Source organism: Homo sapiens, chromosome 1 (assembly GCF_000001405.40).
Source record: "Homo sapiens chromosome 1, GRCh38.p14 Primary Assembly".
NCBI classification, from domain to species: Eukaryota; Metazoa; Chordata; class Mammalia; order Primates; family Hominidae; genus Homo; species Homo sapiens.
Genome location: NC_000001.11, coordinates 34955302 through 34969339, shown reverse-complemented (window position 1 = coordinate 34969339; position 14038 = coordinate 34955302).

The following is a 14038-nucleotide window of genomic DNA, read 5'->3' as shown; positions in this document are numbered from 1 at the left end:
ATCTATCTATCTATCTATCTATATTTTTTTGAGACAGAGTCTCGTTCTGTTGCCCAGGTTGGAATGGAATGCAGTGGTGTGATCTTGACTCTGCAACCTCTGTCTCCCGGGTTCAAGCAATTCAAGCAGTTCTCCTGCCTCAGCCTCTCGAGTTGGGACTGCAGGCGTGCACCACCATGCCTGGCTAATTTTTGTATTTTTTGTAGAGACAGGGCTTCACCATGTTGGCCAGGCTGGTCTCGAACTCCTGACTTCAAGATATCCTCCCACCTCGGCCTCCCAAAGTGCTGGGATTACAGGCGTGAGCCACCACGCCCAGCCATGGACTGCATCATATTAAAACTGCAGCCCAGCTCTGCCTCAGTTAACTCCTGATTGGATTGAGGTGATCAGTCCCTCAACCTATCTGCCTAACAGAGGAAAGGTGGAACTTGGTGGGAGATACCATGCAGAACCTCTACAGGTCTTTCATATACGGGTCTCTGCAGCTCTTTTTAAATAAAAAGCCACTAGATATCCAAAGAAGCAGGAAAATGTGGCTGATAATCAAGAGAATAGAGAGACAATAGAAATAGACCCATAAATGATCCAGATGTTGAAGTAATAAGACAAGGATTTTCAGTAACTGTAATTAAATAATTATAGGCTGGGCGTGGTGGCTCACACCTATAATCCCAGCACTTTAGGAGGCCAAGGTGGGAGGATCACTTGAACCCAGGAGTTTGAGACCAGCCTGGGCGATATGGTGAGATCCCTGTCACTATGAAAAACATCTAAAAATTAGCTGGGTGTGGTGGTGGTGCACGCCTGTGGTCCCAGCCACTCAGGAAGCTGATGTGGGAGGATCACTTGAGCTGTGGTTGCACCACAGCACCCCAGCCTGGGCAACAGACAGAGACAGTCTCCAAAAAAAAAAAAAAAAAAACCCAAACTATTTAAAAAAAACCCAAACTATAATTAAATAATTATAATAATGTAATGATATAATGATAATTAAAGTGATTTTAACTCAGTGCTCAATGGAGCCCAGGCTGGAGTGCAGTGGCGTGATCTCGGCTTGCTACAGCCTCCACCTCCCAGCCGCCTGCCTTGGCCTCCCAAAATGCCAAGATTGCAGCTTCTTCCCAGCCGCCACCCCATCTGGGAAGTGAGGAGCGTCTCTGCCTGGCCGCCCATCGTCTGGGATGTGAGGAGCCCCTCTGCCTGGCTGCCCAGTCTGGAAGGTGAGGGGCGTCTCTGCCCGGCCGCCATCCCATCTAGGAGGTGAGGAGCGCCTCTTCCCGGCCGCCATCACATCTAGGAAGTGAGGAGCGTCTCTGCCCGGCCGCCCATCGTCTGAGATGTGGGGAGCGCCTCTGCCCCGCCGCCCCGTCTGGGATGTGAGGAGCGCCTCTGCCCAGCGGCGACCCCGTCTGGGAGGTGAGGAGCGTCTCTGCCCGGCCGCCCCGTCTGAGAAGTGAGGAGACCCTCTGCCTGGCAACCGCCCCGTCTGAGAGGTGAGGAGCCCCTCCGCCCTGCAGCCGCTCCGTCTGAGAGGTGAGGAGCCCCTCCGCCCGGCGGCCACCCCGTCTGGGAAGTGAGGAGCGTCTCCGCCCGGCAGCCACCCCATCCGGGAGGGAGGTGGGGGGGTCAGCCCCCCGCCAGGCCAGCCGCCCCGTCCGGGAGGTGAGGGGCGCCTCTGCCCGGCCGCCCCTACTGGTTAGTGAGGAGCCCCTCTGCCAGGCCACCACCCCGTCTGGGAGGTGTACCCAACAGCTCATTGATAGCGGGCCATGATGACAATGGCGGTTTTGTGGAATAGAAAGGGGGGAAAGGTGGGGAAAAGATTGAGAAATTGGATGGTTGCCGTGTCTGTGTAGAAAGAAGTATACATGGGAGACTTTTCATTTTGTTGTGTACTAAGAAAAATTATTCTGCCTTGGGATCTTGTTGATCTGTGACCTTACCCCCAACCCTGTGCTCTCTGAAACATGTGCTGTGTCCACTCAGGGTTAAATGGATTAAGGGCGGTGCAAGATGTGCTTTGTTAAACAGATGCTTGAAGGCAGCATGCTCTTAAGAGTCATCACCACTCCCTAATCTCAAGTACCCAGGGACACAAACACTGCGGAAGGCCGCAGGGTCCTCTGCCTAGGAAAACCGGAGACCTTTGTTCACTTGTTTATCTGCTGACCTTCCCTCCACTATTGTCCTATGACCCTGCCAAATCCCCCTCTGCGAGAAACACCCAAGAATGATCAATAAAAAAATAAATAAACAAATAAAGTGATTTTAAAATAGAGGAAAATATTAACAAATGAGTGAAAAATGGATATTTTTTAACAATTGGAATTCATAAAAAGGAATAAAATTATTGATTTGACAACTATAGATAACATTAGCAGGATGTGGGATTCTTTTACAATACAATAACAGCTAATAAACAGAATTCGATGTTGTATAATTTCTCTCAGTCCAAACCCTATAAAGTACAACAAATTAATTGACCTCTTGCCAGAAGCAAATCTATCAATAAACATTAGTAATTTATGTTACATGGTAAAATTTCACCAGAGATATCTGGGAAGAAGGAATCACTAGCATTTCAACACTGATGGAAACAAAGTAAGAAAAGTCTGCTATCAAATATTTTATTGGCTTCAGCCATTCAGGAGGATGAGTGTTCCAGGTCCTCCCGACATCCTGTAAGCTACCAGGGCTTTTATCCTGGGGCATTAGAGGAAGTTAGAGGTGGGGTAGGTTACCCTTGAACACTCTAAGTACAGCAGCAGTTTTCGGAGGCAAGGGGGAATCACAGGAGAAAACTGTCTTTGTAAAAATGTCAGCTGAGAAAAAATTAGATATCATTTTGGTTTGAAAGAAAATGGAAAGTCTAATATTCCAATTAATTAAAATCATTTTGCTTGGATTGTCAAATTCTGCTTGGAAATTAAGGCATGGTGAAAGCCTGGAATACAGATGGGAAAAAGCATGGGATCTGGAGTTAGAGAGACCTAGGATAAAATCTCAGCTCCATCATGCTCCAACTATAGACTCTTAGCAAAATGTTGCCCTTCCACATGCCCAGTTTTTCCCAGGTGTAAAGGAGGAGGCAGCATCCATAAGACATTTCATATGGTGCTTGGATATATCAGGGGTCAATTGGTAGTGGTGATAATTCTTACAAATGGGATGCAACTGATATTTGGAGATAAAATACTCATTATTTTGAGTTTTTTTTTAACCTCCAGTTAAAAAATGGAGGTTATGGAATGCTGGATTTTTTTTTTTTTTTTTTTGTCTCTCTCTGTTGCCCAGGCCAGAGCGCAGTGGTGTGTGTGATCATGGCTCACTGCAGCCTTGACCTCCTGGGCTCAAGCAATCCTCCCACCTCAGCCTCCCAAGTAAGATTTTGTTCTTAATTGGGCTTTGTTTGAGCAGATTTGCTTCTATGGTGCTGTATAAATAAAATACAATATGATTGAATATGAAATGTGGCATCTAAACACATGTCACATGCTCTGAACAGACTCTGAAACTATACATCTACTTCTGAATATTGAAGTGGAAATTTGAATATGTGAAAATGTATTTACATTTATGTATTTTTTCCAAAGTAAAACAGAGAAGATGGAATGTAACAATGAGCAGAAACTAATTAGCAGCACAAATGTCAGAAGCGGAGACGTTTGAAATTCTGTGCTATAATTTATCTTCTGCATTGTGAATTTTAACTAAAACAAGAGGCTGTGCTGAAAAAATAGATTCCTCTGGCTAATTCAGAGGAATGACCATTCTGAAAAGCCTGCTGTTATCACAAGGTGGGACAAACTTGAGCAAATGGGAACAGCAGCTTATACCCCCTGCTAAAAGAAATGCTTACAGATTTCCACTGCAAATGGAACAGAGAATGGTATTTGCCAGAAGGGTCCCCTTCTAACACTACTTCTTAGCAAAGACTGTGATTGGCAATGACTGGTCAGAGTTGGGCTTCCAAACTGAGCCTACAGCCCAACTCTGATTAAACTCCCCAGGTATCACCATTTGCCAAGAAAACAAAAAATAAGACTGAGTTTCTCCTTTTTCCAAAAAAAAAAAAAAAAAAAAAAAGGACCAAATGGACATTTCGAACTAAAAAGTACATCTGAAATTAGGAATTCCTTGAATGGACTTAAGAGAGGACTCAATGTAGATAATAATAAAATTAGCCAACTTGAAGACGGGTCATTAGAAAATATCCAAACAGAATGTAAAGAGAATTAAGAATAAATTTATTTATTTGTTTGTTTATTTTATATTTATTGATTTAATTTATTGAGACAGGGTCTCACTCTGGTCCCCTAGCTGGAGTGCAGTGGTGCGATCACAGCTCACTGCAGCTTTGACCTCCTGGCTCAGGCGATCCTCCCACTTCAGCCTCCTGAGCAGCTGGGACTACAGGTGTGAGCTACCATGCCCAGCTAATTTCTTTTTTTAACTTTTATTTTAGGTTTGGGGGTACATGTGAAGGTTTGTTATATAGGTAAACTCATGTCACGGGAGTTTGTTGTACAGATTATTTCATCATTCAGGTATTAAGCCTAGTACCCAATACTGGCTAATTGTTTGTATAGATGAGTTTGGCCATGTTGTTCAGGCTGGTCTCCAACTCCTGGCCTCAAGTGATCTGCCTGCTGTGGCCTCCCAAAGTGCTGGGATTACAGGCGTGAGCCACCATGCCAAGCCAAGCATTATTATTATTATTTTTTTAAAAGAATAGGTCATAAAATACATGTGGGATCAATCAAAATGCCATTATGCTTGTAAATGTAGTGCCAGAAGAGAGGAGAGATGGGGCAGATGGCATATTTAAAGAAATGAAAGCCAAGAACTTTTCAAAACTGATAAAAGGCATTGCTATGGTTTAATATGATTTGTCTGCCAAAATGTATGTACTGAAGACCTAGTTCCCAGTGTAACAGTGTTGAGAAGTGGTGGGACCTTTAAGAGGTGTTTTGGTCCTGGGGACTCTGCAGCTCTCTCAGGACTGGATCCATTACCATGAGAGTGGCTTGTTTGTTGTTTTTGTTTTGAGACGGAGTCTGTTGCCCAGGCTGGACTGCAGTGGTGCGATCTCAGCTCACTGCAACCTCTGCCTCCCTGGTTCAAGCAATTCTCCTGCCTCCACCTCCCGAGTCGTGGAGATTATGTGTGAGCCACCACGCCCGACTAATTTTTGTATTTTTAGTAGAGGCAGGTTTCACCATGTTGGCCAGGCTGGTCTCGAACCCCTGACCTCAAGTGATCCACCTGCCTCAGCCTCCCAAAATGCTGGGATTACAGGTGTGAGCCACCACGCCTGGCCAAGAGTGGCTGGTTACAGAGTGAGGCTGCCTCTCATGTTTGGTCTACTGTGCATGTGTTCGCTTCCCATTCTGATTTTCTGCCATGTTATGAAAAAGCAGTATGAAAGCCCTTGCTGGAAGCAATATACTTTATAATGTAGATCCTTTCCATGGTTTATTTTCAATCTTTCTGCCTCATTTTATGTAAAGTGAATCTCATAAAAACCAAATAGTTGGTTTTTGTTTTTTATCTAATTAGATCAACATTATCTCTTAATTTGATTGTTCAGTTCATTTACACTTAGTGTAATTACTAATATGCTTTGGTTTAAATCTACCATCTTGCTATTTGTTTTCTCTTCGTCTCACCTTTTTGTTGTTGTTTTATGTATTTTTCTTGCCTTCTTTTGAATTAATCAGATATTCTTAATTTTTTTCACTTCTATTAACTCTTTTGTTATATATTCTTTTATAATTCCTTTAATGTTTACCCTAGAGATTACAATATTGACTTATTATGGTCTACCTTAGTTTTTATTGTGTTACAGATCTATTAATGAAGACTATTCTTAGCTCTGAAATTTTTTGTTTTTGAGATAGAGTCTTGCTCTGTCAGCCAGGCTGGAGTGCAGTGGCACGATCTCAGCTCACTACAACCTCCGCCTCCCAGGTTCAAGCAATTCTTCTGCCTCAACCTCCCAAGTAGCTGGGACTACAGGTGTGCACCACCACGCCCAGCTAATTTTTGTATTTTTAGTAGAGACAGGGTTTCACCATATTGGCCAGGCTGGTCTCGAATTCCTGACCTTGTGATCTGCCTGCCTTAGCCTCCCAAAGTGCTGGGATTACAGGCGTGAGCCACAGCACCCAACCTAGCTCTGAAAAATTTCTTATTTCACCTTAATTATTTATTTATTTAGAGACAGAGTCTCACTTACTGTGTTACCCAGGCTGGAGTGCAGTGGTGTGATCATTGCCCAATCCCACCCAAACTCCTGGGCAGGAGCAATCCTTCTGCCTCAGCCTCCTGAGCAGCTGGGACTACAGGTATGTGTTATCCCCCTGGCTAATTTTTAAATTTTCTATAGAGATGAGGTCTCGTTATGTTTCCCAGATTGATCTTGAACTCCTGGCCTCAAGCAGTCCTCCTGCCTCAGCCTCCCAGAGTGTTGGGATTACAAGCATGAACCATCTCACCTTACCTTTTTAACTTTATTTTTGAAGAATTTTTTCTAGGTTTCCAGTTTTTTCCCCCCTCAACACTTTAAAGATGTCATTATATTGTCTTCTGGCTTGCATATTTCCTTTGGAAAAATATTTATCAGTCTTGTTACTCCTTTGACTGAAATGTGTCTTTTCTTCTGTATGATTTTAAGACTTCCTACTGTCTTTGGATTTCGGCTGTTTGACTATTATGTGCCTATGAGGTTTAGTTTCGTTGCTTGGTGCAATAAAGAAAGAAAAAGAAATAAATATTAAAAAGATGGGAAAGGAAGAAATAAAACTATCAATACTTGTAGATAATTGTGTACAAATCCAAAGAATTGACTATTAGAATTTAAAAATGAATTTACCAAGGCCACTGGATATAAGATCAATGTGCAAAAACAATGGTATTGAAGCATATAATTAGGAAATAAAATAAAATAGTATCAGTCACTATAGTGTATGCACTCATACGCACAAACACACACACACACACAAATCCTATGAACAAAGCCAGTGAAAGATGTTCTTGACTTATAAACTGCAAACTACAAAATGTTTAAGATATTCTTAAAGAAGATTTATATAAATGAAGGGATATACCATGCTCATGAATTGGAAGTCTCAATGTTTTTAAAATGCCAGTGCCCCTCAAATTGATCCATAGATTTAATACAATCCAGTAACAATCCAAACAGGGTTATTTTTGTGGAAATTGACAAGCCGATTCGAAAATTCATATTAGAAATATAAAAGACCTAGAATAGCCAAGGCAGTCTTGACAGAAGAACTAATTTGGAATACTTACACTTCAGGTATCAAGACATATTTTTAAATTTCATGCTTGATTCAGTTTGCTAATATTTGTTGTAGACTTTTTGTATTTATATTCATGAGGTGTATTGACCAATAGCTTTCTGTTCTTGAGAGGTTTTTGTATGACCTTGGTAATACAGTAATGCTGATCTTATAAACAAGTTGGGAAACGTTTTTATCTATTTTCTGAAAACGTTTTGTGTAGAAGGTATTATTTCTTATTTGATGTTTCTAGGGTCCCTCAGTTCTTCCCATTTTTCCTCTTGTTCGGACAGAGAAACACAGAGTGCCTTGACTGCTCTGTGCCCTGGCCAGCTGCATGTTTTATCATATGCAGGTTTGAACCCAAACCTGGGCCTTGAATATTCCCAGACACTGATAAACTTGTTTAGGTTGTTGCCTGAAATACACATTGCTAAACATGTAGAAAAAACTAGCTCTTACTCTGAGCCAAATTCCTTAAACCCTCATATCAACTCCATAACCTGATCCCCTTCCTTGCAGACATACTTAGGCAGAACCTCTCTTTCTCTCACTGTTCAATGCAATGATCACTGCATCAGGCTATAAATTGCCCTAATACATGTTTTGGACTGATCACCTTGGTGTTTAGTGCCTCTTTCTTTGGAATTCGAACCAGCCCCATATCCAGAAGCTCTGGAGTAGACCCTTGAAGGAATTCCCCTGCCATTGCTTTTGGGGAAACTCTAGCTATGGGTTCAGCTGGATGGAACAATGATAGAATTCACCAGAATTCATCTGGGTTGAGAGGTTTCTTTGTGGGAAGGTTTTTAATTAGAAAATCAATTTTTTTTAAATGGGATCTCATTTTGTTGCCCAGGTTGGAGTGCAGTGTTGCGATCATGGCTCACTGCAGCCTCGACCCCCCAGGCTCAAGCGATGCTCCCACCTCAGCCTCCTGAGTAGCTGGGACCACAGGCATGTGTCACCACACCTGGATTGTTTTTTTATTTTTATTTTTATTTTTTGTAGCGATGAGGTCTCCCTGTGTTGCCCAGGCTGGTCTCAAACTCAAGTGATTCTCCCACCTCAGCCTCCCAAAGTGCTGGGATTACAGGTGTGAGCCACCGTGCCTGGCCCAATGCTTCAAGAATATAGAGCTATTGAAGTTTTCCATTTTTTCTCCAGTCAGTATTAGCTATTTGTTTCTTCCATGGAATTTGTCAATTACGTCCAAATTGTTGAATTTATTAGACAAAATCGCCATAAGATTATCTTGTTATCATTTTAATCCCTGTAGGATCATGATGTTTCCCCTTTCATATTTGACATCAATAAATTGTGTCTTCTTTTTGTAATTAAAGGTTTATAAATTTTATTGACCTTTTAAAGAACAGCTTTAAATTTCATTGATTTTTTTCTTTTTCCTTTTTTTGAGACAGATTCTTGCTCTGTCACCCAGGCTGGAGTGGCTGGCCTTGGCTCACTGCAACCTCTGCCTCCTGAGTTCAAGTAATTCTCCTGCCTCAGCCTCCCGAGTAGCTGGGATTACAGGCACATGCCACCGTGCCCGGCGATTTTTCTATTATTTGTTTTCTACTTTTTTTATTTTGCTCTTATCTTCATTATTTCTTTCTTTCTACTAATAAGTAGAAGGAAACTCTCTTTGAGTTTAATATATGCTTCTTTTTTTTTTCTGAAGGTGGAGTCTTAGATTATTGATTTTTGACCTGTATTCTTTTCTAATATAAGCGTTTAGAAGCTTATATTAGAAAGCTTGGCCGGGCTCGGTGGCTCATGCCTGTAATCCCAGCACTTTGGGAGGCCGAGGCGGGCAGATTGCCTGAGGTCGGGAGTTTGATAGCAGCCTGGCCAGCATGGTGAAACCCTGTCTGTACTAAAAATACAAAAATTAGCCAGGCGTGGTGGCAGGTGCCTGTAATCCCAGGCACTGAAGCAGGAGAATTGCTTGAACCCAGGAGGTGGAAGTTGCAGTGAGCTGAGATCACGCCATTGCACTCCAGCCTGGGCAGCAGAGCAAGACTCTGTCTCAAAAAAAATTAAAAAAGTACACATTCTTTGCTAAGCACTACTTTAGCCATACCCTTACACATTTTGATGTGTTGTGCTTTCATTTTTATTCAGTTTTAAGTATTTTCTAATTTCTCTTGTGATATTTTCTTTGACCATGAATTATTTAAAACTATGTTAATTCCTAGACACAAGTTATTTTAATATATGGCTGTTTTTTACTTTTAATGTAATTTTGTTATGACCAGAGAACACATTCTGTATGATTGAAATCCTTTTGAATTTATTGAGATTTATTTTGTGGCTCAGTGTATGGTCTTATTTTGGTGTACGTTCCCTATGCACTTGAGAAAAATATTTATTCTTCTGTGTTGGTAGAGTCTTCTATTAATGCCAATTAGGTCAGGTTGGTTGATAATTTTCAAGTCTTCTACGTATTTACTAATTTTTGTCTCCTTGTTCTATCAATTACTGAGAGAGGAGTATTGAAATTTCTAACTATAATTGCAGATATGTCTATTGTTTTTCTCTTCTCTCAGTTTTTGCTTTATGCTGCTTAAAGCTCTTTTATTAGATGAATGTAAATTTAGAGTTATTATGCCCTCTTGTTTAATCAACTCCTTACTATTATGAAATGTAGCTCTTTATTGCTGGTAATAGTCCTTGTTTTGAAGTCTACTTTGTTAGATACTAATATAGTCACTTCACTTTATTTTGTTGCATGCTGTATCTTTTCAATCCTTTTACTTTTAGCCTGCCTTTTTTTTTTTTTTTTTTTTTGAGACAGGATCTCGCTTTCTGGAGTATAGTGGTATGATCTCGGCTCACTGCAGCTTCCGCCTCCCAGGTTCAAGCGATTCTTGTGCCTCAGCCTCCCAAGTAGCTGAGACTACAGGTGCCACCACCATGTCTGGCTAATTTTTGTATTTTTAGTGGAGATGGGGTTTTGCCATGTTAGCCAGGCTGGTCCCAAACTTCTAGCCTTAAGTGATCTGCCCACCTGGGCCTCCTAAAGTGTTGGAATTAACAGGCATGAGCCACTGCGCCAGGCATGGACAATTAGCTGGGCTCAGTGGCTCACATCTGTAATCCCCACACTTTGGGAGGCCGAGGTGGGAGGATCACTTGAGGCCAGGGGTTCAAGACCAGGCTCAGCAACATGGCAAAACTCATCTCTACAAAAAATACAAAAACTAGCTAGGTGTGGTGGCATGTGCCTGTAGTCCCAGCTACTCAGGAGGCTGAGGTGGGAGGATCACTTGAGCCTCGGGAAGTTGAGGCTGCAGTGAGCCATGATTGTGCCACTGCACTCCAGCTTGGATGACAAAGCTCCAATAAATAAATAAATATGGCTCACGCCTGTAATCCTAGCACTTTGGGAGGCCAAGGCGGGCAGATTGCCTGAGTTCAGGAGTTCAAGACCACCCTGGGCAACGTGGCAAAACCCCATTTCTACTAAAAATACAATAAATAAATAAATAAAAATAAATAGCAGGGAGTGGTGGTGCCTGCCTGTAGTCCCAGCTGCTCAAGTGGCTGAGACACAAGAATCACATGAACCCAGGAGATGGAGGTTGCAGTGAACCGAGATCATACCACTGCACTCCAGCCTGGGTGACAGAGCAAGATTCTCTCTCCAAAAATAAATAAATAAAGAATAAATAAAATAAAAATAAAGTGGACAATCTCTGGCACTTTATTGGAGTGTTCTATTTACAATTAATGTAATTATTGACATGGTTGATTTTAAATTTACCATATTGCTTTTTTTCTTTTATTTTTTTATTATTTTATTTATTATACTTTAAGTTCTAGGGTACATGTGCACAACGTGCAGGTTTGTTACATATGTATACATGTGCCATGTTGGTGTGCTACACCCATTAACTTGTCATTTACATTAGGTATATCTTCTACTGCTATCCCTCCCCCCTCCCCCACCCCACGACAGGCCCCGGTGTGTGATGTTCCCCTTGCTGTGTCCAAGTGTTCTCATTGTTCAATTCCCACCTATGAGTGAGAACATGTGGTGCTTGGTTTTTTGTCCTTGCGATAGTTTGCTGATAATGATGGTTTCCAGCTTCATCCATGTCCCTACAAAGGACATGAACTCATCCTTTTTTATGGCTGCATAGTATTCCATGGTGTATATGTAAGTGCCACTCATTTTATTTTATTTTATTTTATTTTATTTTATTTTTCTTTTTTTTCTTTTATTATTATACTTTAAGTTTTAGGGTACATGTGCACATTGTGCAGGTTAGTTACATATGTATACATGTGCCATGCTGGTGCGCTGCACCCATTAACTCGTCATCTAGCATTAGGTATATCTCCCAATGCTATCCCTCCCCCCTACCCCCACCCCACAACAGTCCCCAGAGTGTGATGTTCCCCTTCCTGTGTCCATGTGATCTCATTGTTCAATTCCCACCTATGAGTGAGAATATGCGGTGTTTGGTTTTTTGTTCTTGCGATAGTTTACTGAGAATGATGATTTCCAATTTCATCCACGTCCCTACAAAGGACATGAACTCATCATTTTTTATGGCTGCATAATATTCCATGGTGTATATGTGCCACATTTTCTTAATCCAGTCTATCATTGTTGGACATTTGGGTTGGTTCCAAGTCTTTGCTATTGTCAATAGTGCCGCAATAAACATACGTGTGCATGTGTCTTTATAGCAGCATGATTTATAGTCCTTTGGGTATATACCCAGTAATGGGATGGCTGGCTCAAACGGTATTTCTAGTTCTAGATCCCTGAGGAATCGCCACACTGACTTCCACAATGGTTGAACTAGTTTACAGTCCCACCAACAGTGTAAAAGCCTTCCTATTTCTCCACATCCTCTCCAGCACCTGTTGTTTCCTGACTTTTTAATGATTGCCATTCTAACTGGTGTGAGATGGTATCTCATTGTGGTTTTGATTTGCATTTCTCTGATGGCCAGTGATGATGAGCATTTTTTCATGTGTTTTTTGGCTGCATAAATGTCTTCTTTTGAGAAGTGTCTGTTCATGTCCTTTGCCCACTTTTTGATGGGGTTGTTTGTTTTTTTCTTGTAAATTTGTTTGAGTTCATTGTAGATTCTTGATATTAGCCCTTTGTCAGATGAGTAGGTTGCGAAAATTTTCTCCCATTTTGTAGGTTGCCTGTTCACTCTGATGGTAGTTTCTTTTGCTGTACAGAAGCTCTTTAGTTTAATTAGATCCCATTTGTCAATTTTGGCTTTTGTTGCCATTGCTTTTGGTGTTTTAGACATGAAGTCCTTGCCCATGCCTATGTCCTGAATGGTATTGCCTAGGTTTTCTTCTAGGGTTTTTATGGTTTTAGGTCTAATGTTTAAGTATTTAATCCATCTTGAATTGATTTTTGTATAAGGTGTAAGGAAGGGATCCAGTTTCAGCTTTCTACATATGGCTAGCCAGTTTTCCCAGCACCATTTATTAAATAGGGAATACTTTCCCCATTGCTTATTTTTCTCAGGTTTGTCAAAGATCAGATAGTTGTAGATATGGGGCGTTATTTCTGAGGGCTCTGTTCTGTTCCATTGATCTATATCTCTTGTTTTGGTACCAGTACCATGCTGTTTTGGTTACTGTAGCCTTGTAGTATAGTTTGAAGTCAGGTAGTGTGATGCCTCCAGCTTTGTTCTTTTGGCTTAGGATTGACTTGGCGATGCGGGCTCTTTTTTGGTTCCATATGAACTTTAAAGTAGTTTTTTCCAATTCTGTGAAGAAAGGCATTGGTAGCTTGATGGGGATGGCATTGAATCTCTAAATTACCTTGGGCAGTATGGTCATTTTCACCATATTGATTCTTCCTACCCGTGAGCATGGAATGTTTTCCATTTGTTTGTATCCTCTTTTATTTCCTTGAGCAGCGGTTTGTAGCTCTCCTTGAAGAGGTCCTTCACATCCCTTGTAAGTTGGATTCCTAGGTATTTTATTCTCTTTGAAGCAATTGTGAATGGGAGTTCACTCATGATTTGGCTCTCTGTCTGTTGTTGGTGTATAAGAATGCTTGTGATTTTTGTACATTGATTTTGTATCCTGAGACTTTGCTGAAGTTGCTTATCAGCTTAAGGAGATTTTGGGCTGAGACAATGGGGTTTTCTAGATATAAAATCATGTCGTCTGCAAAGAGGGACAATTTGACTTCCTCTTTTCCTAATTGAATACCCTTTATTTCCTTCTCCTGCCTAATTGCCCTGGCCAGAACTTCCAACACTATGTTGAATAGGAGTGGTGAGAGAGGGCATTCCTGTCTTGTGCCAGTTTTCAAAGGGAATGCTTCCAATTTTTGCCCATTCAGTATGATATTGGCTGTGGGTTTGTCATAGATAGCTCTTATTATTTTGAAATATGTCCCATCAATACCTAATTTATTGAGAGTTTTTAGCATGAAGGGCTGTTGAATTTTGTCAAAGGCCTTTTCTGCATCTATTGAGATAATTATGTGGTTTTTGTCTTTGGCTCTGTTTATATGCTGGATTACATTTATTGATTTGCGTATATTGAACCAGCCTTGCATCCCAGGGATGAAGCCCACTTGATCATGGTGGATAAGCTTTTTGATGTGCTGCTGGATTCGTTTTGCCAGTATTTTATTGAGGATTTTTGCATCAATGTTCATCAAGGATATTGGTCTGAAATTCTCTTTTTTGGTTGTGTCTCTGCCAGGCTTTGGTATCAGAATGATGCTGGCCTCATAA